Source organism: Homo sapiens, chromosome 1 (assembly GCF_000001405.40).
Source record: "Homo sapiens chromosome 1, GRCh38.p14 Primary Assembly".
Classification (NCBI taxonomy): domain Eukaryota; kingdom Metazoa; phylum Chordata; class Mammalia; order Primates; family Hominidae; genus Homo; species Homo sapiens.
The window spans coordinates 45,737,171-45,762,170 of NC_000001.11; the positions used below are offsets into that span (position 1 = coordinate 45,737,171).

Here is a 25,000-nt window from a genome sequence, read left to right on the forward strand (position 1 = left end):
GTCATGAAAGCTTTTGTCCCACTCCTAAATTCTCACCTGATTCATGCCAATGTGTGTCTGGATAATTTCTCTCCCTTGTTTAAACATTTAAATAGTGTATTCCTATACACAATTAAATAAGGAATAAGATGTATTCCTTATTTGTGAATATACCTACTTGCTAAAATGTATTTGTAACCCCAAAATTAATATAGTAGTCCCCTTATCTGCAGTTTTACTTTCCATGATTTCAATTACCCATTAATATTTCCAAAATATTAAGTGGAAATTCCAGAAATAAACAATTCTTTTTTTTTTTTTTTTTTTTTGAGACAGGGTCTGGCTCTGCCACCCAGGCTAGAGTACGGTGGTACAATCTTGGCTCACTGCAGCCTCAGCTTCCTGGGTTCAAGTGACCTTCCCACCTCAGCCCCATGAATAGCTGGGTCTACAAGCACATGCCACCATCCCCAGCCAATTTTTCTATTTTTTGTAGACACAGGTTTCACCATGTTGCCCAGGCTGGTCTTGAACTCCTAGGCTCAAGTGATCTGCCCACCTCATCCTCCCAAAGTGCGGGGATTACAGGCATGAGCCACCGTGCCTGGCCCAGAAATACACAGTTCTTAAGTTTTACATTAGTTTTGATTAACAGCCTAACACTGTAACACAATGCCTAGGTCATTCACCTCATTTCATCTTATCACATAGGTACTTTATCATCTCATATCATCACCAGAAGGGTAAGGACAGTATAATAAGATATTTTAAGATAAAGTACATCCACATAACTTTTATTACAAATATGAACATAATTGTTCTACTTTATTATTAGCTATTATTAATCTCTTACTGTCTCTAATTTATAAATTAAACTTTATCATAGGTATGTATTTATAGGAAAAAACATAATGTACATTAGGTTCATTATCACCTACAGTTTCAGGCATCCACTGGGGGGTTCTTAGAATGTATCCCCCATGGATAAAGGGGGACTACTGCACTTGTTCTTTTGCAGTCATTCACAGACATGCACAGAGTGGCAAAAAATTTAAATCACCCTACATGTACTTTCTGGGTGAGGTCAAAGTTTCACTCTGTCTTCTCATTTCAGCTCTTATGCTATAAACAAGTATCCTTTTCCACAGTCTATTTAGTGTCATTTTTTTTTTTGCATTTTTGTGCTTTTTGTTGGTAATTTTGCTGTTTAAAATGGCCCCTAACCATAATGTTCAGTTGTTACCTAGTGTCCCTAAGTGCAAGAAAGCTATGAAGTGCCTTACAGAGAAAATACCTATGTTAGATAGAGTTTCATTCAGGGATGAGTTATAGACTGGTGGCCATGAGTTCATTGTTAATGAATCAATAATATATATTAAATAAGGTGGTTTTAGACAAAAACCTATATAGGCCGGGCGTAGTGGCTCACACCTACAATCCCAGCACTTTGGGAGGCCGAAGCGGGTGGATCACGAGGTCAGGAGATCGAGACCATCCTGGCTAACACGGTGAAACCCTGTCTCTACTAAAAATACAAAAAATTAGCCGGGCATGGTGGCGGGCGCCTGTAGTCCCAGCTACTTGGGAGGCTGAGGCAGGAGAATGGTGTGAACCCAGGAGGCGGAGCTTGCAGTGAGCCGAGATTGTGCCACTGCACTCCAGCCTGGGTGACAGAGCAAGACTCCATCTCAAAAAAAAAAAAAAAAAAAAAAAAAACAAGAAAAAAATCTATATAAAACAAGGCTCTATTGACTATGTGACAAAAATGTTGTGACTATAGGCTTGCAGGAACCTAAACCTGTATTTCCCCTAGGAGCAATTGTTCAGTATTTGCTAATTCCGTGTTTGCAGCAGACTTATACAACATAGCTACTGCAAATAACAATCAACTATATCTGTAGTAAAACAAGATATCACTCAGAAAAACCTACAAAATTATGTTAACATTGCTAAGAGTGGAGAAAAACTAATAACTCATTATTTTAAATTATGTATTTACAGAATTACACCGTTAATGCTTAGTAGTGTATTTAACTTGTAATAAAATCATTTGTAATTCAATAGCAACCTAATCTTTCAGTGCATGACAAGAGTAAAAACTTCAAATCTCAAAACCAGGTCTAAAGTAGGCTGGAGAGCAATGGCACAATCCTGGCTCAATGTAGCCTTGACCTCCTGGACTCAGGTGATCCTCCCACCTCAGCCTCCCAGGTAGCAGTGACTATAAGTGCATGCCACCGTGCTGGGCTAATTTTTTGCCTTTTTTTTTTTTTTTTTTTTTTTTTTGTAGAGACAGGGTTTCACCATGTTGCCCAGGCTGGTCTTGAATTCTTGTGCTAAAGCGATCTGCCTGCCTTGGCCTGCTAAAGTGCCAGAATTATAGGCGTGAACCATTGCACCTGGCCTAAAGTAATTCTTAGAAATAAATTTAAACATCATTTTTCTAATATAAACATAAAAACTATTTTATACTATGGTAAAACATATTTTCAGAATTAAGTTTAGAATCTAAAGATGATTCAAAGGCTACTCAGAGGCCATAATTGTATATCAATACCAAATTTATTTTATAATGAAAGGATTTACAGGATTCATTGAATTTTTTTATTTTTAGTGTATGCATTTTCTCCAAGTGTTAGGTTTTGCTTAATTTTTCAGAGTAGCAAGAGGAAATCTTTTTTTTTTTTTTTTTAATTGATCATTCTTGGGTGTTTCTCGTAGAGGGGGATTTGGCAGGGTCATAGGACAATAGTGGAGGGAAGGTCAGCAGATAAACAAGTGAACAAAGGTCTCTGGTTTTCTAGGCAGAGGACCCTGCGGCCTTCCGCAGTGTTTGTGTCCCTGGGTACTTGAGATTAGGGAGTGGTGATGACTCTTAACGAGCATGCTGCCTTCAAGCATCTGTTTAACAAAGCACATCTTGCACCGCCCTTAATCCATTTAACCCTGAGTGGACACAGCCCATTTTTCAGAGAGCACAGGGTTGGGGGTAAGGTCATAGATCAACAGGATCCCAAGGCAGAAGAATTTTTCTTAGCACAGAACAAAATGAAAAGTCTCCCATGTCTACCTCTTTCTACACAGACACAGCAACCATCCGATTTCTCAATCTTTTCCCCACCTTTCCCCCTTTTCTATTCCACAAAACCGCCATTGTCATCATGGCCCGTTCTCAATGAGCTGTTGGGTACACCTCCCAGACAGGGTGGTGGCTGGGCAGAGGGGCTCCTCACTTCCCAGTAGGGGCGGCCGGGCAGAGGCGCCCCTCACCTCCCGGACGGGGCGGCTGGCCGGGCGGGGGGCTGAACCCCCCATCTCCCTCCCGAACGGGGCGGCTGGCCGGGCGGGGGGCTGACCCCCCCACCTCCCTCCCAGACAGGGCGGCTGGCCGGGCGGGGGGCTGACCCCCCCTAGGAAATCTTAACTGAAATAATTGGTTCTGTCAACAGCAGTGGTATGTTAGTAGCTCTGTCAGTAATTTTTATCTATAACACTAATCTGCCTTAGTAATCAATCTCAAGAAAGATTTTGATAAAAATAGTGGGTAGAAATATTAAAATACTACTGCCCACCCACAGAACACAAAAGTTGTATCTTAATCATTCAATACATTTTAAAAAAAGAAAAAAAAAGAGTAATCATTCAATAAATGTCTGTTACTGAACCAAAAAATGAAAACACTCTCCCACATTTCAGAGAACACATCACTGGATAATTAATCAACTAATTCGATATATAGCAAAAAAGTTACCTTCTATATACTTTAAAAGTCTCTGAGGAGGTAATAAAGGGAATCGAATTGGGTCTAGCACTTCCACCACATGTTTTCTTCTTTTTCCCAAATCTTTCAGAATCCATTGCATTGCAGCTAAGAAGACCTGGTATTCATCCTCAATGCTAAGCTCTTCACTTCGCAAAATTTTGATCAGCTGATCTTTCGTAAGTGCCAGGAACTCTTCTCCACTATGAACCTCCAAGAAATGGACATGAATGTAGTTTTCTGAGAATTCCAAGAGATCATGGCAGGCAATTTGCTCAGAGAACTGAAAAATTCCAATGCAGTTCAGTGGATCAATTTGTCCTTTCAGAAATTCACAGCAAAGATGAACAACTTCAGTCAACTGTAGCATGTCTGCTGCAATAATCAACTCCTGGACATTATTCACACCTATGTTCACTATACCTAGAGAAGTAGGAAGACAAAATGGCCAATAAAATAAAAACAAACATTGGCTTACCATATTCAAAAAGTATTATACTTGATTTCACTGATAGTTTGATGCCTGCAGAGTAGACAGACACTAAAAAAGGCAATCAAGGATTTGAGTAAAGAGCACAAAATTTAAACGATAACGATACCTAACACATTTATGAAAAACTTACAATGAACCAGGTGCAGTATTAATTGCTTTATATGCTAATTTAACCCTTATTATAATCCCATGTGGTAGATATTATTATTTTTCTTATTTTCTTTTTTTTTTTTTTTTTTTTTTTGAGACGGAGTCCCGCTCTTTAGCCCAGGCCGGATTGCAGTGGCACAATCTTGGCTCACTGCAAGCTCCGCCTCCCAGGTTCACGCCATTCTCCTGCCTCAGCCTCCCGAGTAGCTGGGACTACAGGCGCCCGCCACTGCGCCCGGCTAATTTTTTGTATTTTTAGTAGAGACGGGGTTTCACCGTGTTAGCCAAGATGGTCTCGATCTCCTGACCTTGTGATCCGCCCGCCTCGGCCTCCCAAAGTGCTGGGATTACAGGCGTGAGCCACCGCGCCCAGCCTTATTTTCATATTAAAGAAACAGAATCAAAGTTTAAGTCACTTGTCCACAAGTTGCATGGTAAAGCAAGTTGCAAGGTAGGGGTTGACATCAAAGTCCATGCTTTTGCCATAAAAAAGAAGGAAATCATGTGCTTTACAGCAACACAGATGGAGCTGGAGGCCATGATTCTAAGCAAATTAACACAAGTACAGAAAACCAAATATCATATGTTCTCACTCATAAATGGGAGCTAAACATTGCATACACGTGGACACCAAGAAGACATGGATACACATTCGGGCCTACTTGAGAGTGGAGGGTAGGAGGAGGGTAAAGATTGAAAAACTACCTATCAGGTATTATACTGATTAACTGGGGGACAAAATTATCTACATACCAAGCCCCCAAGACACACAATTTACCCATGGAACAAACCCGCATATGTACCTCTTGAACCTAAAAGTTGGAAAGAAAAAAAACAAACAACAACAGCAACAACAACAAATAAAGTCTATGCTTTTAACATAAGGTTATATGCATGTAACAGACATTTACTGAGGCACTGGGGAGAGTAAGACAAGGTCTCTATCTTCAATTATGATAAAACGCCACATAATGTTCATTTTTTGTTTGTGCTTGTTTTGAGACAGTGTCTCATTCTGTTGTCCAGGCTGGAGTGCAGTGGCGCAATCTTGGCCCACTGCAACCTCTGCCTCCCACGCTCAGGTGAGCCTCCCACCTCAACCTCCCGAGTAGCTGGTACTACAGACACTCACCACCATGATCGGCTAATTTTCTGTGGTTTTTTTTTTAGAGACAGGGTTTTGCCGCATTGCCCAGGCTGATCTCAAACTCCTGGGCTCAAGCAATCCACCCACCTCAGCCTCCCAAAGTGCAGGGATTATACACAATGCTAGTTTTTAATATTAGGAATAACCAATAATCTATAACATAAGAGAAACTATTAAATACTTAACTACGTATACCACTTTCTTTTCCAAGGGCTTCACTTTCTTTTTTTTATTTTTTTATTTTTTTATTTTTTTCGAGACAGAGTCTCACTATGTCACCCAGGTTGGAGTATAGTGGTGCATCCTCGGCCCACTACAACCAACACCTCCTGGGTTCAAGTGATTTTCCTGCCTCAGCCTCCTAAGTAGCCAGGATTACAGATGCGCACCACCATAACCAGCTAATTTTTGTATTTTCAGTAGGGACGAGGTTTCACCATGTTGGTCAGGCTGGTCTCGAACTCCTGGCCTCAGGTGATCCACCCACCTCAGCCTCCCAAAGTGCTGGGATTACAGGCGTGAGCCACCACACCCATCTTTTTTTTTTTTTTTTTCTGAGACAGGCTCTTGCTCTGTTGCCCAGGCTAGAGTACAGTGGCATGGTCTCTGCTCACTGCAACCTCTGCCTCCCAGGTTCAAGCAATTCTCCTGGCTCAGCCTCCTGAGTAGCTGGGACTACAGGTGTGCGCCACTAAGCCCAGCAAGACTCCGCCTCAAAAAAAAAAAAATTAGCCAGGTGTGGTAGCATGTGCGCCTGTAGTCTCAGCTACTAGGGAGGCTGAGGTGGGAGGATTGCTTGAGCCTAGGAGTTTGAGACCAGTCTGGGCAACATAGCTAGACATAATCTCTACAAAAAAAATTTAAAAATTAGCCAGGCATGGTGGTGTGTGTTGTGGTCCTACAGGTACTCAGGAGGCTGAGGTGGGAGGATAGCTTGAGCCCTGGAGGTCAAGCTGCAATGATTTTGCCACTGCATTCCAGCGTGGGTGACAAAGCAAGACTCTGTCTCACAAAATAAAAAATAAAAGAGGCTGGGCACAGTGGCTCTCCCCTGTAATCCCAGAACTTTAGGAAGCTGAGGTGAGTGGATCACTTGAGGTCAGGAGTTTGAGACCAGCCGGGCCAACATGGTGAAAACCCGTCTCTACTAAAAAAAAAAATACAAAAATTAGCTGGGCATGTTAGTGCAAGCCTATAATCCCAGCTACTTGGGAGGCTGAAGCAGGAGAATCGCTTGAAACTGGGAGGCAGACGTTGCAGTGAGCCAAGATTGTGCCACTATACTCCAGCCTGGGCGACAAAGTGAAACCCCGTCACCAAAAAAAAAAAAAAGAGTAATATATATTCACTGTGGAAAAAGAACTTTAAGACAGAAAAACTAAAATGAAAAACATATTTTTCCATACACAGACATACATTGTATTAACACTGTAGTGTCTTTCTTCACATAGTTTTTCTCTCTCTCTTTTTGAGACAGTGTCTTGTTCTGTTGCCCAGGCTGGAGTGCAGTAGCATGATCATCACTCACTGAAGCCGCAGCATCCTGGGCTCAAGTGATCATCCCATCTCAGCCTTTCAAATCTTTTTTCTATGCATATTTATTGCATATCCTGTAAGACTATACATCGTTTTGGTGTGCCTTCTCTTTCTTTCCCCTTCCCCTACTCCCCTCTTCATCATTCCAGTTGTTTTATTTTATTCAGAGATGGGGTCTCACTCTGTCTCCCAGTCCAGGGTGCAGCAGCTTGATCATAGCTCACTGCAGCCTCAAACTCCTGGATCCTCCCACATCAGCCTCCCGTTAGCTGGGACTAAAGACACAAGCCACACACCCAGCTAATTAAAAAAAATTTTTTTTTGGCTAGGCGTAGTGGCTCACGCCTGCAATCCCAGTACTTTGGGAGGCCGAGGCAGGTGGATCACGAAGTCAAGAGATCGAGACCATCCTGGCCAACATGGTGAAACCCCGTCTATACTAAAAATATAAAAATTAGCTGGGCATGGTGGCACGTGCCTGTAGTCCCAGCTACTCGGGAGGCTGAGGCAGGAGAATCACTTGAACCTGGGAGGCGGAGGTTGCAGTGAGCCGAGACCACGCCACTACACTCCAGCCTGGTGACAGAGCGAGACTCTGTCTCAAAAAAAAAAAAAAATTTTTTTTTAGCCTGGGCAATGTAGTGAGACCCTGTCTCTACAAAAAATTTGTTTTACATTAGTCAGGCATGGTGGCACATACCTGTAGTCACAGCTATGCAGGGTGGTGAGATGGTAGCACTACTTGAGCCCAGGAGATTAAGGCTGCATTGAAGTGTGAGTGCACCACCACACTCCAGCCTAGACAACAGAGAGAGACCCTGTCTCAAACAAAATTTTTTTTGTTTTAGAAATGGGGTCTTGCTATGTTGTCCTGCATAGTCTTGAGCTCCTGGCCTCAAGCAATCCTCTCACATTGGCCTCCCGAAGTGCTGGGATTACAGGCATGAACCACTGTGCCCCTGTGTACATTCTCTAATGTTATTAAAACTCTTCAAAAACATTTAAGAGATAGTTTTGAGTAAAATAACATATGCTGATTATAAACACTTTGTGGAAAAAAATTACCTACAGATAAATGCTATCAAACATTCTGGCTGCTTTCTCATGTGTAAATACATATAAGTTTTTTTGGGTTGTGTTTCAAACAAAATAGGGGTTTATTTATATCCTGATTTTTAAAATTTTATATATTGTAAACATTCTTCCATAATAGTATACATATATTTTAAGATTTGTTAGATCTCATTTGTGAGATCTATACATGTATCATAATTTATTTAGCCATAAAACCTACTGAGACAAGATTTTATTCAATTATATACTACTATAAATAAAGTCACAGGCCAGGCGCAGTGGCTCACGCCTGTAATCCCAGCACTTTGGGAGGCCAAGGCGGGCGGATCATGAGGTCAGGAGATCGAGACAATCCTGGCTAACACAGTGAAATCCTGTCTCTACTAAAAATTAAAAAAAAAAAAAAATTAGCCAGGTGTGGTGGCATGCGCCTGTGTCCCAGCTACTCAGGAGGCTGAGGCAGGAGAATCGCTTGAACCTGGGAGGCAGAGGTTGCCATGAGCCAAGATCGCCCCACTGCACTCCAGCTTGGGCGACAGAGAGAGACTCCATCTCAAAAAAAGAATAAAATAAAATAATAATAATAATGTTACAATAAAATCCTGGTTTGTAAATATGTGCCTGCATCACTAATTAATTCCTTCAGATTCCTAGAAAAGGAGCACCGGGTCATAAGATATGAATTTTCAGTCACATAATAACATGTTGCTAAATTACCTTCTAGATAAGTTAGATCAATTTATATTTCCACATTAGTGCATGAGTGATTGAATCATTCTTCAGTCAAAGCAACAGACTCATGTAACATACCTGTGTAAATGAAATCTAGAAGTATCTGAAAGATTCCTGCTTCAATTCCTAGAATCGGTACAACATCTTTTGAGGACTCTTTCATTCCTCCAGTGAACAAAGCTGCAAAGTAAGGACTGCTGGCAGCCAAAACCAGCCGATGAGCTTTAAAACTTTCCTGTCCAACTTGCAGCTGCACATCACAGAAATGCTGTCCATTTCTCATCTTATTGATTTGGGCCAAGATGAGTTGGGCATGTTTATCTGATGAAAAAGGACTATCAGCAGCCTTGGGACAGTCCTCATTAGCCATGATGACGGTAGATTAATTAAAAGGACTGTTGCCCATAATCTGTTACTACCCTGAAAAACAAAATACAAAGAGATCAAGCAACAAAATTTTTTTAACATGCTTTCTATTCACACATAAGAAGCATTCTCTATACTTAAAATCTACTTAAGGACATAAAACAAATAAGGACTAAAGTGTGGTACTATTACTATTTCTAATATGGTTTCAGAGAATGAAATAAGTAGGGAAGCTAAAATAATTGGAGAATGCTTCACACAAGAAATGGGACCTGCACTAGAAACTGAAAGATAAACAGTTAATATTAAGGTATGAGGAGAGGACACTTCTTGATGGAGTAAAAAAAATAATAATAAAACACAAAGACAGAAAGTTAACAAAGCACACATCACAGAGCACACATCACAGACAACAGCAACTTTCGAAAAGCAGTTGTGATCAGTCTAACTGCTTAAAATCATTCAATGTGTACACTTCCCGTAGCACACAAAGCCCTTCGGGATTCTTGTTATAATTTAAGACTCTGTTCAAATATAACTTCCTCCAGGAACCTTTCCCCATTGCTCCTCTGGAATTGTGGAAATATGTTCCCAAACTCATCTGAGTTTGTTGCTCACCCTAAGCTTATTGGTTTTACATTCTATAGCACAGGTCTACCTTATCAAATACCCTACCACCCTACTCTTAGTGCGCGCATGCGCGCGCACACGAGCGCGCGCGCGCGCTTCAGAGCTCCTTGAAACACAGCCCTTTAAAGGCAGGTACTATCTTTCATAGCTTTAGCACCAGTATATAACATATGTTAGGTTTCCAATGTTTGTGAAATGAATGAGAACAAGGAGAAATAACAACAGCTTAGGTTGGGTTTTTTTTTTAACTTTTAACTTCTCCACATATTATGTCAATGGTAACTCTCACAATAATTAAGAGGTGAGAAGAAAAGATAATCTTATCTAAAATGAGAGAAAAGGAAACTGAAGCTCAAAGTTTCCCCAAGGATACAATGTTAGTATGACAGTCTCAGTATCTGAATCCAGGCCTTCTTACTCTAAATCCAGGACTGTTCCACCATATCACACTGCATAGGAATTATTAGGCCACCGGACACGTTCTAAATTACTTTTTAAATAAAGAAACTGCTGGGCACAGTGGCTCACGCCTGTAATCCCAGCACGTTGGGATGCTGAGGCGTGAGGATCACTTGAATCCAGGAGTTCGAGACCAACCTGACCAACATGACAAAACCCCGTCTCTTCTAAAAATATAAAAATTAGCCAGGCGTGGTGGATCAGGGCTATAATCCCAGCTACTTGGGAGGCTGAGGCACAAGAATCACCTGAGCCCAGGAGATGGAGGTTGCAGTGAGCTGAGATCACACCACTGCCCTCCGCTCTCCAGCCTGGGTAACAGAGCAAGACTCTGTCTCAAAAAAAAAAAAAAAAAAAAAAAAAAAAAAAAACCATGAGATCCTGTAATATAAGACATATGGAATAGCACAGGGAAATTTAAGATGACTAAGATTTTGTAATTTAGGTATCAATGACAATGGGTAATAAGACTTATAGTGTGGGCTGATGTTAGAAAAAAAATGGTTACGTTTATAGCATTTAAACTTATCAAAGTCAAAATAACAAGGCTGATTATCATCACTTTCTAGGAATTAACTTATTGAGAAATTTGATTGAGAGATTCGAAGGTAGCTGCTAAAACTTCATATCACCATCTACAGAATATCAACATATTACATATAACTAGCATATAATAGCAAGAAGTGTTTGAGGTGATGAATATGGTAATTACCCTGATTTGATAATTATACATTATATACATGTATCAAAATATCACACTGTACCTCATAAATGTAAATATAAAACAATTATTATGTGCCAATTTAAAAAATATCTATTTTGGGGGACAGGGTCTCACTCTGTCACCCAAATTGAAGTGAAAAATAAATTTTTTAAAGAGGGTGAAAGGGGCTGGGCACAGTGGCTCATACCTGTAAGCCCAGATTTTTAGGAGGCTGAGGCAGGCAGATCGCTTGAGTCCAGGAGTTTGAGACCAGTCTGGGCAACATGGCTAAACCCTGTCTCTACTAAAAATACAAAAAAATTAGCCAGGCATGATAGCACAGGCCTGTAGTCCCAGCTACTCAGGGGAGGCTGAGGTGGGAGGACCACCTGAGCCAGGGAAGTCCAGGCTGCAGTGAGCTGAGATGGTGCCACTGCACTCCAGCCTGGACAACAGAGCAAGACCGTGTCTCAACAACAACAACAACAAAAAGCAGGTGCGGTGACTCACGCCTTTAATCCCAGCACTTTGGAAGGCTGAGGCGGGTGGATCACCAGAGGTCAGGCGTTCAGGACCAGCCTGGCCAACATGGTGACCCCATCTCTACTAAAAAATACAAAAAATTACCCAGTCATGGTGGTGGGCGCCTGTAATCCCAGTGACGTGGGCGGCTGAGGCAGGAGAATCGCTTGAACCTGGGAGGCAGAGGTTGCAGTGAGTGGAGATGGAGCCACTGCATTCCAGCCTGGGCAACAGAGAGACTCCGTCTCAAAAAAAAAAAAGGAAAAAAAGGGGGTGGGGGCGGAGAAACCATGTATTTGGCCCTACACAGAAATGTGACCTGGAACTATTATCAACATGACATGACTGTCAGGCCTTTTCTGTTTTACATTTCTGTCAGCACATTTTGAACCCTAGTGGTTTAATTACAAGGTACCTCCTCTGTCCCCTACTTCAAGGCATCAAGCACAGCCACTGAGCTAAAATGCTGCCTCCTGCTACAAGAAAGAGTTGACTGAATATCCATTCGGGTGGCAGACAACAGAAATACTAGTCTGTTACCATGCTTCTCAGTAACTGCTGATACCATCCCACTGTCAGTGGAGTAGGAACGTCATCCCAAAAGGTGGCATGTGGAGTGACCATATTTCCAAAGGAAAAGAGCACAATTCTGTGACGTTGCATGCCTCACGTGCCCCAAACTTGAAAAGCAGATTGTTGACTGGGCAAGGTGGCTCACACCTATAACCCCAGCACTTTGGGATGTCCTGTCGGGAGGATCGCTTGATTTTTTGTTTTTTTTTTTTGTTTTGTTTTTGTTTTTTGTTTTTTTTTTTTTGAGACGGAGTCTCGCTCTGTCGCCCAGGCTGGAGTGCAGTGGCACGATCTCGGCTCACTGCAAGCTCCGCCTCCCGGGTTCACGCCATTCTCCTGCCTCAGCCTCCCGAGCAGCTGGGACTACAGGCGCCCGCCACCACGCCCGGCTAATTTTTTGCATTTTTAGTAGAGACGGGGTTTCACCGTGTTAGCCAGGATGGTCTCGATCTCCTGACCTCGTGATCCGCCCGCCTCGGCCTCCCAAAGTGCTGGGATTACAGGCGTGAGCCACCGCGCCCGGCCAGGGAGGATCGCTTGAGTCCTAGAGTTCAAGACCAGCCTGGGCAATACAGCGAGCCCCCCGCCGCAAAAAAAATTGTTTTAACATTAGCTGGCTGTGATGGGGCAAGCCTGTACTTCCGGCTACTTGGGAGGCTGAGGTGAGAGGATCGCTAGAGCCTGAGAAGTCGAGGCTGCAGTGAGTTGTGATCGCACCACTGCATTCCAGCCTAGGAGAAGGGGCGAGACTGTCTCAAAAAAAAAAGCAGATTATTAGGAAACGGTAGAAATGCCCAGAGGAACTAAAGCGGACCTATGTTTGCTGGCTTTGAATTCACTGCTGGGAACATGTGGAAACTGCTTCAGCAAAGGGGTGTCAGAAAGAATCCCCGGAACAAGTGTCAAAACACCCGTGGTTCTTTGTGCTTGAGTTGGGGGCCCGGCCTAGAGAGCTAGCCCTAAACTGCTGCTACACTAAAAGCTAATAATCGTTCCTGCGCTACCTAAAGGTCAGGGAAGGGATCTCAGACAAACGAGGCGACAACAGAGGGACTGGGGACACAGCCTCAGGATTCCCCAGTTGGGGCGGGGGAGGCAGGAGCGGTCCGGACGAGAAGGTCTGGGGAGGGCGACACTTAGACTGTCGGAGGAAGGCCTGCGGCGGCAGAAGGAAAGACAAGGAAATACACAGTTCTAGAGGCTTCTCTCACTCCAGTCCTCAGGGGTCCGGAAAGCCGGAGGGAGTAGAAGAGGAAGTTCCCAACCCCGTCACAGACGCGCCCGAACGCAGGCCCTCCTTACCCGCCGCTTCCCCTTCCCTCCGGCGCCCGCTCAGGCCCTGCGCGCGCAGTCGCGACCAGCCCCGGCCGGAGAGGGCGGGGGAAACCTGGCGGGGGTGACGAGGCGGGAGTGACTGGGCCGTACAGTTCCCCGAGAACTGGAGGCGAAGCCGGGCGGTGGGAAGGGACTTCGGACGCTTCGCGGGCCCTGGGTTTTCACTGCGCGTGCGCGAGGTTCTTCCGCTCGCGGGAGACTGGGCCGCTGGCGCCTCTCAGTGCCCACTGATGGGGCCCAGGGCTTGGGCTTGCTTCCCCAAGGATCAACAGCTTAGCTGCAAGCCTCTGCTTCTGCCTGCTGGGGCCGGCTGGCTCGCCCTTTCCATTCCGCTTGCACTCTGATTCTTGTGGTGTCCCAAGAAGGCCGCGGATCTCAGTTAAGCAGAGACGAGCCGAACACCTGGCACGGTCCTTCTCTACTGTTCTCTCGAATCGTTTTCTGAGTGCATGACTGAGCCTGGCACTGAAGGGATACTTATTTTGGGGAAGGAAGAACTCAAAAGTCCAGTTTTTTTCACTGTTGACCCTCATGTGTCACATTAGTGGCTTTCAAACTGTTTTGATCCCAGCCTACGGTGAACAAAAATATTTTACATCAAACTCAATACCACATACTTGTGAGTATATATATAGAAGTATATATCTAACATAAAATCTCATTTCTTTATTTTTATTTTTATTTTTTATTTTTTGAGACGGAATTTCGCTCTTGTTGCCCAGGCTAGAATGAATGCAATGGCCGGATCTCGGCTCACCGCAACCTCCGCCTCCTGGGTTCAAGCGATTCTCCTGCCTCAGCCTCTCAAGTAGCTGGGATTGCAGGCATGCGCCACCATGCCCGGCTAATTTTGTATTTTTAGTACAGACTGAGTTTCTCCATGTTGGTCAGGCTGGTCTCAAACTCCCCACCTCAGGTGATCCGCCCGACTCGGCCTCCCAAAGTGTATTTCTTTCTCTTTTTATGAGACAGGGCCTGGCTTTGTCGCCCAGGCTGGAGTGCAGTGGTGCCATCTCGGCTCACTGCAGCCTCGACTTCCTGGGCTCTGGTAGTCCTCCCACCTCAGCCTCCTGAGTAGCTGGGACTACAGGCCTGTGCCACCACCGCCAGGCTAATTTTTTGTATTTTTAGTAGAGACAAGATTTCGCCATGTTGACCAGGCTGGTCTCCAACTCCTGGGCTCGAGTGATCCGCCCGCCTCGGCCTCCCAAAGTGCTGGGAGGTGTGAGCCACTGTGCCTGGCCTGAAACAAAATCTTCACAAAACTATGTTTACACTTACGACCCGCAGTGCACTAAATTTTTATTTCTTCTTTTCTACTTCATTACCAAAAACTGCTAACAGGGACCTATTGTCAGCAAACATTGTCAAAGACTTGGAAATGAGGAAAAGAGAATTCTGTGTGCCCTTTCAGTGTAAGGCTGGACGGATTTGCATCCATAGGGAGCTCTGACTTTCTATTGACTAAAGTATTTCACCAGAAAACTGGTAGTACTTAAAATAATTCTTGCCCGTCTGTAGAAAAGATACACCAAAACATTGTTTTATTGACCTGTAGCATATTAAGCCATTTTTACCCTTCTCAGCAAATTCATTTAAACATTCCTGATTCTTAGCAAATTCATGCTACATTCCTAAATATCTTACTGGCTCCCTTATAAGTTAATGAGATAAATAAAATATTTGATACTTTTTTTTTATATTTGTAAGAGAGTCATGGTTTTACTCTTCAGAAAATTATACTTCAGCACTACTAAAATCAATTTCATGACTTACTCTGGATTACACTTGTGAAAGTTAAGCATACAGATTGGGCCATTCTTCTCATACCCACCGAAAATGGTGGGAGGGGAAACACTGAGGGCACATTTCATTGCTCAAAGAATGTAATTCTCTGCAACCCTGTCTGCTGAAACTGCCTGTTGTAACCTGAAACCAGTTTTACCCAATAGCTATTGAAACAAACTGCCATGACTCAAAGACTAGTTTGGTTTTTTGGTGGTTTTTGTTGTTGTTGTTGGTTGTTGTTTTGTTTTTGACAGGGTCTCTCTCCCTGTCACCCAGGCTGAAGTGCAGTGGTGTGATTGGGGCGGGGCTCACTGCAGCCTTGACTTCCTGGGCTCAATCAATCCTCCCACTTTAGCTTCCCAAATAGTTGGAACTACAGCTGCATACCAGCAAGCCCAGTTAATTTTTGTCTTTTTTGTAGAGACAGGGTTTCATCATGTTGCCAGGCTGGCCTTGAACTCCCAGGCTTAAGTGATCCACTCACCTAAACCTCCCAAAGTCCTGGGATTACAGGCTTGAGCCACTGAGCCCAGCCTCAAAGGACTAGTTTTACCCACTGCAGTCACTCACCAATCAGAGCTTGCCAGCAACCTAAAACTTTCCTAGTGCCAATGAACTTTCTTTCAAAGCCATATGTAACATTTCTCCTTTTTGTAAAACCTCAAAGTGAACCAAAGAACACCCAGTCTGTGTATATGCTTTGAATTGCAATTCTTGCCTCCCAAATAAAATGTTAACTTTAGAATTGCTTGGACCTGGGAGGCAGAGATTGCAGTGAACTGAGATCATGCCACTGCACTCCAGCCTGGGCAAAACAGCAAGACTTTGTCTCAAAAAAAAAAAAATGCTTATAGGCTGCTATAGACTAAATTGTGTCCTCCCCATAATTTACATGTTGAAGCCCTAGCCTCCAATGTAATGGTATTTGGAGCTACCACAGTGAGGCAGTGGGATGCGTCTCCCCATAAAAGATAATCGCTAGCCCCTCCCGAAGGAGAACAGGATCCCAGACGAGCCCCCAAATTTATTGGAAACAAGTGCTTGGCGTAGCCAAAAGAAACCCACACTTAGACAGAAAATTTCTCAGTAAGGCACCTTTACTTCTGCAGGATGGTGCTGCTTGCGCCTGTTAAAATCACAAGAGCACACCAAACAAAGGAGGGAAGGAGTTTTTAATCCTAATGCAGTTCCTGTTTTTGTGTCCTTCCCCTATTGACTGGGGTTGGACTGCACAATCTAAGCTGATCCTGATTGGCTAAGACTTAAACTTTTCCAAATATGGTAAACGCACAATTTGCAAAAAGAAGAAGAAGGGGGGCAGGTAGGATTGATTTACAACTTTTACAACTTACGAGCGGAAAGTTGAGTCTTTGAAGAGGCACTTAGTTGTCCCAACAATTTCCCCTCTTCTGTTCTATAGCTCTTCCTCTTCAGATTTCTTCAACAGGATTTGGCTTTGTTGTTCTTCTTGATTATCTAGGAGCAAGAACTTATCTGAGTACAGAGGGGGAGACGTAGGGGAGGATTTTGTGAGAGCTGCTTCTATGAGCCTTTGGGTTAACCCACGAATATAGGGTATGATACAGCAGCCCACAAGGATGAGTACACCTGTAACAATTGCAAGGGAGGTAATGATTGAGGTCATGAGTCCTTTCCATTTTCCAAACCACCTTTCCATCAGGCCCATAAAGGGATCTTCTATTCCAGAGTTTTCGGCTAATTCATTTGCTGGGGTGGTAAGGCCTTGTAAGGTTTTTGAGATTGTCCCATCGGGTGGTGTATTATTAGGGATAAAAGTACAACACTGGACCCCAATCATGACACAGACTCCGCCTTTTTTGGCTAACATCATGTCAAGCGCTATTCTATTTTCCCAGGCCATCTGGCTGGTAGGGCCTAATTGTTCAGCTATTCCTTTTATGGCATCTCTGGTATAATTGATGAATCGCTGCTGATTGTAGTATATATAATTTATCCAGTCTACATTTTTATTTATAGTGTACCACCAGAATAAGATACACTCGATCCCAGCAGCTATTTGGTTTCAAGTGTTGAATTCATTTGGTACCCCCGGCAGGACCCCAATGCTGTCTATGTAAACGTGGGGGTCAAAGGACCCGTTAATTGGGACTTCTCTTTTTCTTCAGGTTACCTGCTTCCTGTCTGGTTGATGAAATGCCAAGGTGAAAGGGATGGCCAATTGGATCAGAGCGCAAGTGCCACTCCAGTCGTTTGGCAGTGTACCCAATATTGGTCCCCCACAATACCACCACACATCCACTCAGGGATGGATAGGGCCGACTGACTGAAAAAAGTTTGAAAAAGTTTAGTGTCACTACATCCTATTATGTTTCCAAGGAATGTCAAATTTTCCCCTTGCCATGAGAGACATGAGGTAAAATTGGCATCAAGAGCTGGAAGTTGAATGGCCCTTGGGGGCTGTCCCATAGGGCTCCTGACCTTTGGGAAAAGTAAGAGTGGCACATGACTTGTTTCCTCAAGCTGTGGGGTGCTAGAAGAGAGCTACCATACAGTCCATGCCGGGTTGGTTGGCCCATCCGAGTGGGAGGGGAACAATTTGGATTTCTGGCCTGCCCGTTGCACAAGCATAACAATCGCTTTTATTTAGTGTGTCAACAGAATATTTAATCCATTTCAGCCAGGCATTTACATCTTGATACCCGGTTTCTATGGCTATGGTTTGGTTTAAGTCCTTGACTTCTACTCTAGCTACTTTGGTTTTGTCATTGGGCATGAAGAGAGAAATGGTTTGATTTTGTGGGTTTGGGGAGGGCGTAATGGTGGAAGATGGAGGAGGAGGAACAAAGTGCGTTTCGAAGAAGCCTATAGGGTCCTTTCCAGTGACATCTGCTCCTAGGCCATAAAAGCACTCTAAAGTGGGTGTAGGGCTGGTGGAGGTAGGGGTATTAATAAAGATAAGTACTGGGTTGCAATGGTAAGATTGGCAACTAGAGAGGGTGGTTCCTTTGATGAAGTGGAGGTAGGATTTAGGGCGGTGCAACCCTCTGAGGAGGTCCAGCCCTGATACTTAGTAGTCCATATAACATCTCCCCAAGTATAGCAAAACCATCAATGCTAAGTTCGTGCCCATTCAGTGCAAGAGTTAGTTTTGTAGGCAGTGTAATTTATCCTAGAGGGACAAAGGTACTTTTCTGAAGAGGCTAGCTATCTTTGACTTTGGAGATCCCCACAGGGCATGACAAGACAGGCATTGAATATAATTGTTTGGGGGGAGGGTGATTGGGTTACACTGATGATTAGATGTCCTTGGGTAGCTAAAGGCAGAAGAAAAAGACAGATTAAACCCTTTTGAATGTTAGTTTGGAGACTGTAGGTCCTGGAGTGAAAGTCCATGACTCTCCAAGGGGTGGGGCCTTTTTTACTCAAGTGTTGTGGGTCCATCCTTTTTCAGCCGTTGGGATTGCTGTTTCAGTGGTTAGGAGTACTAGATAAGGTCCCTCCCAGGTTGGTTTGAGCTTTCCCTCTTTCCAACTTTTGATAAGGACGTGATCTCCGGGCTGGTGTTGGTGAACTGGGAATTCGAGGGGTGGAGTTTGCGCTAGGAGGCCTTGAGTCCTGAGGGAGGAAAGGGTGGAAGACAGACCAAGTATATAGTTTTTGAGAAGCTGACCTTTTGTTTCAAATGTGGGAAGGTCAGTAGTGGAATTTAGATAAGGCAGCCCGCAGAGCATTTCATAAGGGGACAGGCCAAGATCTTTTCAAGGGACAGTTTGGATTCTTAGTAAGGCCATGGGAAGGCATTTTGTCCATGGTAACTGGGTTTCCGAGATTAATTTGGTTAGGTGATTTTTTTTTTTTTGAGACAGAGTCTCACTCTGTTGGCCAGGCTGGAGTGCAGTGGCACGATCTCGGCTCACTGTAACCTCTGTCTCCCAGTCTCAAGCAATTCTTCTTGCCTCAGCCTCCTGAGAAGCTGGGATTACACCGCACCTGGCCTGGTTAGGTGATTTTTTAGAGTTTGATTCATTCTTTCTACCCTCCCTGATGAGGGGAAGTGCCAGGGAGTATGATATTCCCATTTTATTCCTGTTGCTTGGGTTAGCCCCTTAATGATGTGTGCAGTAAAGTGGGTCCCATTGTCTGAATCAATGTTCTCTGTTAGTCCAAACCTGGGTGATATGTTCCAACAGGGCTTTGACTACATTGCTGGCTATTGTGCTTGGGAAGGGGATGGCTTCTACCCAGTGGATGCTAGTCTACTATGACTAGCAAATACTTGAGACAGCCTATTGGGGGCATTTCAGTGTGGTCAACTTGGACGCTTTAGAACGGCCTCAGCCCTGGGTTTCTTCCCCCGGGAGGCTTGCCTCTTTAGGGTTTGCTTATTAGTTTTTCTGCACACTATGCAACCATCCGCCACTTTATCGAGGGTATATATCCCTATACACCCATAGACCCTAAGGGCTGCATTGCATATAGCTCGAGGACCCCAGTGAGTTCCTTGATAAAGCTGTGACAATACTTCCCTCATGAGGGGTTTAGACAGCATTTCCCTTCCATCTGTTAGTACCCACTTGCCCTTTGGGCTCTCCTTAGCTCCTGTTTTCTTTAGTTTCTCTTGGTCTGCGTGGGAGAAGATGGGGATTGCAGCTGGAGGGGGAAGAGAAGAAGTTAGATGGAAAATGGGTGACACTTGGGAAGAGGCAGCTTGCTTAGCTACTTGATCTGCGAGGTTATTTCCCCAGCTTTCAAAAGATGAGTTCTTTTGGTGTTGGTGTTGTGGGACATGGACAACCGCAATCTCTTCCGGCAGCTGAAGATTTTCTAATACTTGCATAATTAATTCCTTGGGGACCAAATCTTGGCCCTTACTATCGATGAGGCCTTGTTCAATCCAGATCTTTCCAAAGGTATGGACTACTCAGAAGGCATACTTGGAGTCAATGTAAATAGTTCCTTCCTGATTCTGCAGGTATTTTAAGGCTTGGTTTAATGCAAAGAGTTAACATGCTTGGGCAAACCAGTTATTTGGCAGTCTTCCTGACTCTACCTCTGTGAGGGTTTCCCCACCAACTATGGAGTACCCGTTGTGCCTTTTTGCTTCAATGACCTAGGAGGAGCCATCTATAAAGAGATGACCCTCTATTTGGAAAGGGGTTTCACTTAGATCCACTCTGACTCTAGTTTGATAACTGATTAAATCTAAGCATTTATGCTCAGGTTCTTCCTGGTTTGGATTTCCTGTTAGGAAAGCAGTGGGGTTGAGTGAATTGTCAGTGGTTAGTGTTAGGTTATCCCTCTCTAATAAGATAGCTTCATATTTTAAAATTCTTGAGTCAATGAGCCATCTCCCTGCCTTCTGATTAAGAACGGTTCTCACTTGATGAGGGACACTTATGATGAGGTTTCCTCCAAAGGTTATTTTCCTGCTTTCTTCTGTTAGCAAGGGAGTTGCTGCTATGGATTGGACACATTCGGGCCATCCACAGGTTACTGGGTCAAGGATTTTTGACAGGAAGGCTATGGGCTGCCCGTGGCCTCCGTGTTTTTGGGTGAGTACCCCTAAGGCCACTCCTTTGCTTACATTAACAAAAAGGTGGAATGGCTGTTCTAAGGAGGGCAAGGCTAGAATGGGGGCAGTTACAAGCAGGTGTTTTAATTATTTTACCTATTGGATCTCTGATAGGGTCCAAAGGAGCAGGTCTGCTCCTTCTTGAGTGAGTTTTTATATAGGGGCTTTGTTTTTAAGGCATAAGAGTCAATCCACAGATGGCAATATCTGACCAATCCTAAGAATTTCCTAAGTTCCTGCTTTGTTTCAGGTAAAGGCAAAGATATGATATCTTCAATTCGTTTGGGCTCTATCTTTTGCTTACCTTTGCTGATTAGGTGTCCTAGATATTTTACCTCAGGTCCTACGACTTGAAGTTTGTTCTTTGAGACCTGTAACCCTTGTTCCCTCAGGAAATTTAGGAAGTTAACTGAAATTGCTGTTACTTGATCCTTGTTATCTCCTGAAATGAGCAGGTCATCTACATATTGGCATATGGATGAAGGCAGGGAGAAGTTTCCAAGACTTGTTCTAAAATTTGACCAAATAGATTTGGGGACTTTGTAAACCCTTGGGGCAAGACTGTCCATTGGTACTGCTGTTTTTGACCGGAGTGAGGGTCCTCCCACTCACAGGCAAACATGTCCTGGCTGTCCTCTGCTAAAAGGCAAGCGCAAAAGGCATCTTTTAAATCTACCACCGTGAACCGCTGGTGGTTGTGAGGGATTCTACTGACATTGGTGTAAGGATTGGGAACAACAGTGTGGGTGGTCTGAACTATTTGATTAATAGCCCGGAGATCTTGCACTAGCCAGTATGACCCGTCTGGCTTCCTTACAGTGTTATAAGGGGACATACAGGGTTTAAGGAGTCCGTCATGGACAAGGCTTTCAATTAGAGGTTTTAAACCTATCCTGGCTTCCAAGGGAATAGGGTATTGTTCTCTTCTCACTACTTCCCCAGGAGTTTTTAATTTGACATGGATTAGAGTAACCCGTAGCTTTCCTCGATTTCCTTCCTTCGACCATATGTTGGGATGGATGTGGCTTTCTTCTGAAGTGGTGAGCAGGTTTAAGGAAGTAAGGAGCTTTTCCTGATTAACATATAGGCCTATGCCTAATCTTAACATTAAGTCCCTTCCTAATAAATTAGTTCCTGCTTCAGGAATTAACAAGAACTTAGTAGTAACCAACTTATTCTTATATTTGACTTCGGTTTCCTCTAGAGTTTTTGCCCTGAACCCTCCCCTTTAACTCCTGAGACAGTATGGTCTTCTGCTGACCAGGCTAAACCTGATGGGAGAAAACATAGCGGGAAGCAAGCCGCTCCCGAATCTACTAAGAAAGTGACTGTCTCCGATTTGGGTCCCACTGTTAAACTTATCAAGGGCTCTTGGTGGGACACGAGATGGAAGATGTAGAGCCCCTGACCCCCCTATTCTTCAAACGTCATGAGTGGAAGGACTTTCTTTTCCCTCTCCCATTTGGGACATTTCCTCTTAGAATGTCCTGGCTTTCCACACCTGAAACATCTGTTTTCCCTTCTTCCCCTCCCTGTTCCCTGACTCTTGGTTTTCATCCCTTTGCTTCCTGTATAGGGTCTGGCAGCCAGGGTACTTAGAAGGTTTACAAGTTCTAGTTCCCTGGGCTCCCTGTTGAAGAGTTCCCTGTTGTAGGGTGTACAGCATAATTTTTGCATCTTGCTTCTGCCTTTCCTCATCCCTTCATACATATACCTCTTGGGCCTCTCTTAAAAGTTCTTCTATGGGACGGTCTTTCCAATATTCTATCTTTTATAATTTCTTTGTAATGTCTGGCCAACTATTGGTGACAAAGTGGAGCTTTAACATCCCTTGTCCCATTGGATCCTCTATGTCCAAACTTGCATATTTCCTTATCTGTTCCTTAAATCTGTTCAAGAATTCCATGGGTCCTTCATCTTTCCCTTGTTGTATATTAAATGCTCGGGAAATATCTTGGGTTTGAGGAATGGCTTCCCAAATCCCTTTAATTATCATATCTCTGAGATCTCTCATGTTTTCTTGGTGGGCCGCACTGTTATTATTCCATTGAGGATCCTGGGCTGGGAATTTATGCTCCACTGCAAGGACATTTTGACAAGAGGGGTGCTTGTGCTCCTAGACTATCACAGCGGCCCTGCGGATCATGGTTCTTTCCTAAGAAAAGAATACCTAGAATAGACATTACTTCAGCCCAAGTGTACAGTTGTGGCCCCAGAAATTGGTAAATTTGATCTGCGACTCCAAAAGAGTCATCTAACTGGTTTGAGTTCCTTTTCTTTAGATTTCTAACCTCTGAACTGGTTAAGGGGGCATTTATGAAGCCAATATCCCCTCCTCCTAGTGGTTATTTCCCTTAAGGGAAAAAGAGTTGGGGCACACTTCTTTGAGGAAGAGGGGAAACGAAAGTTTTGAATATCCCTTGGCATTGTTCTATTTCCCGTTGGAACTTTCCTGAGGAAGGGGCATGTTCGGGTGGCTGTCCAATGGGGGTGTGGGGTGTCAAGGCCCATGGGGCAGGGTTATATGGGGGAGGGACTGAGTGTTCAGCTTGGGGCAGAGGGTTAGGCGGGAGAAGGTGGTCTAGAGGATCCCATGCATCTTTAGATAGGGGATATGACTTAGCTAGGTCGTCTTTGGGGGATTTTAAGTTTGGCTTTGCTTTTTCGTCCTTTAGGGGATAGAGAAGGAGAGGTCCTTGTCTCCAACATAGAGCATAATCTATCTCCTCTTGAGAAACTGGACTTTTATCATTGACATATTGGATCAGGAGTTGGCATATCCAGTCCTTGTTCAACCCAAACTTTGGCCAAAAGACCAAAGGTCTGAGGATGGGTTCCTTAGTCCAAATAAAACAGCAATACTTTATCATTTGTTGTCTTTTCTTGTGTTTGGTCCTTTCATTATCCTTGCAGTATTTTAACATAAGGCCTAGGGGCCTGTCGGGGGAATTTTATTGTCTGCTTGGCCTCTTATAGTCCCTGTCTTACTTGGGGTATTTCCCATCCTGGGGGCTGATGAGGCTCAATCTCTTGTATTAGAGATTTCTTGCACTCCCATATCCTAAAGGTTCAACCTCCCCTTTTCCCACTGGAGGTTTCTTTCTTTTTTTCTTTTTTTTGAAGACGGAGTCTCACTCTGTCACCCAGGCTGGGGTGTGGAGTGCAGCGGCGATCTCGACTCACTACAACCTCTGCCTCCCGGGTTCAAGCCATTCTCCTCCCTCAGCCTCCCGAGTAGCTGGGACTACAGATGCATGACAACATGCCCGGCTAATTTTTTTGTATTTTTATTTATTTTTTAAATTTTATTTATTTTTTTTTTGAGATGGAGTCTTGCTCTGTCGCCCAGGCTGGAGTGCAGTGGCACAATCTTGGCTCACTGCAAACTCCGCCTCCCGGGTTCACACCATTCTTCTGCCTCAGCCTCCTGAGTAGCTGGGACTATAGGCACCTGCCACCATGCCTGGCTATTTTTTTGTATTTTTAGTAGACGGGGTTTCACCATGTTATGCAGGATGGTCTCGATCTCCTGACCTTGTGATCCAAAGTGCTGCCTCGGCCTCCCAAAGTGCTGGGATTACAGGCGTGAGCCACCGTGCTCAGCCTTTTTTTGTATTTTTAGTAGAAACGGGGTTTCACCGTGTTGCCCTGGCTGGTTTCAACTGCCTGAGCTCAGGAAATCTGCCCACCTCGGCCTCCCAAAGTGCTGGGATTACAGACGTGAACCACCATGCCCGGTCCCCACTGGAGGTTTCTTGCACTCTCGTGAGCACTCACTTCGTCCTTATTGGCTAATTCCCTTGTGAGAATTTTAGGCCCCTGTTAGCATTGGCAGGTCAGTATAATCCCCCAACTGGAAAACGGCCCTAAGCCGTATGAGGTGACCATGGAACCAAGTCTGGACTCTGCACTCGCATCACCCGCAATGGCGCATCTCACTTACACACTTTCAACCTCCAGAGACCCTGACTACCAAGGAATACTTTGTTGCCCCAGTAGGGACATTTCTTACCTTGGTCTGTGCACAGAGTTATCTGGTCACCATGGAGTTCTTAAGGATCCTCCCTACTGCCCACGTTGCTGAGAGTCTGTATTTATTTGTCACTTCCTGGGGGAATCAATCCTCCACTCCTGGGGCCACCACAATGAGGCAGTGGGATGCATCTCCCCATAAAAGATAATTGCTAGCCACTCCCAAA

General features: G+C 44.2%; 1 protein-coding gene and 1 long non-coding RNA gene across 7 annotated transcripts in view, besides 1 other annotated feature; one reads left to right on the forward strand and one right to left on the reverse strand.

The window, feature by feature from the left end:
* Window positions 1-13,483, reverse strand: part of IPP (intracisternal A particle-promoted polypeptide) — a 56,330-nt gene extending 42,847 nt beyond the window's left edge. For 3 of the 5 annotated variants that reach the window (NM_001145349.2, XM_006710623.5, NM_005897.3), the window contains exons 1-3: window positions 13,427-13,483; window positions 8,950-9,291; window positions 3,731-4,162 (exon numbers count right to left, since the gene is read on the reverse strand). In NM_001145349.2, the coding sequence (NP_001138821.1) occupies window positions 3,731-4,162; window positions 8,950-9,241 (724 nt within the window). In that variant the 5' untranslated portion in view covers window positions 9,242-9,291; window positions 13,427-13,483. Of the gene's footprint in view, window positions 1-3,730; window positions 4,163-8,949; window positions 9,292-13,335 lie in introns of all 5 variants that reach the window. The other 2 variants (XM_047419673.1, XM_024446763.2) reach the window with 1 other exon arrangement.
* Window positions 13,324-13,593: a silencer, noted in NCBI's record as "silent region_834". NCBI's record gives its function as "represses an Ori minimal core promoter by ATAC-STARR-seq in GM12878 lymphoblastoid cells {active_cell/tissue: GM12878}" and the evidence as "EXISTENCE:reporter gene assay evidence [ECO:0000049][PMID:35858748]".
* LOC105378693 (uncharacterized) lies at window positions 13,779-23,667 on the forward strand. 2 transcript variants are annotated; one of them, XR_947289.2, is made up of 3 exons: window positions 13,779-14,078; window positions 17,395-17,642; window positions 23,477-23,667. It is a non-coding gene; the product is annotated as an uncharacterized LOC105378693 (long non-coding RNA). The 2 variants fall into 2 exon arrangements; XR_947290.2 differs by having other exon boundaries at window positions 17,395-17,571.
* Window positions 23,668-25,000: the final 1,333 nt, after the last annotated feature.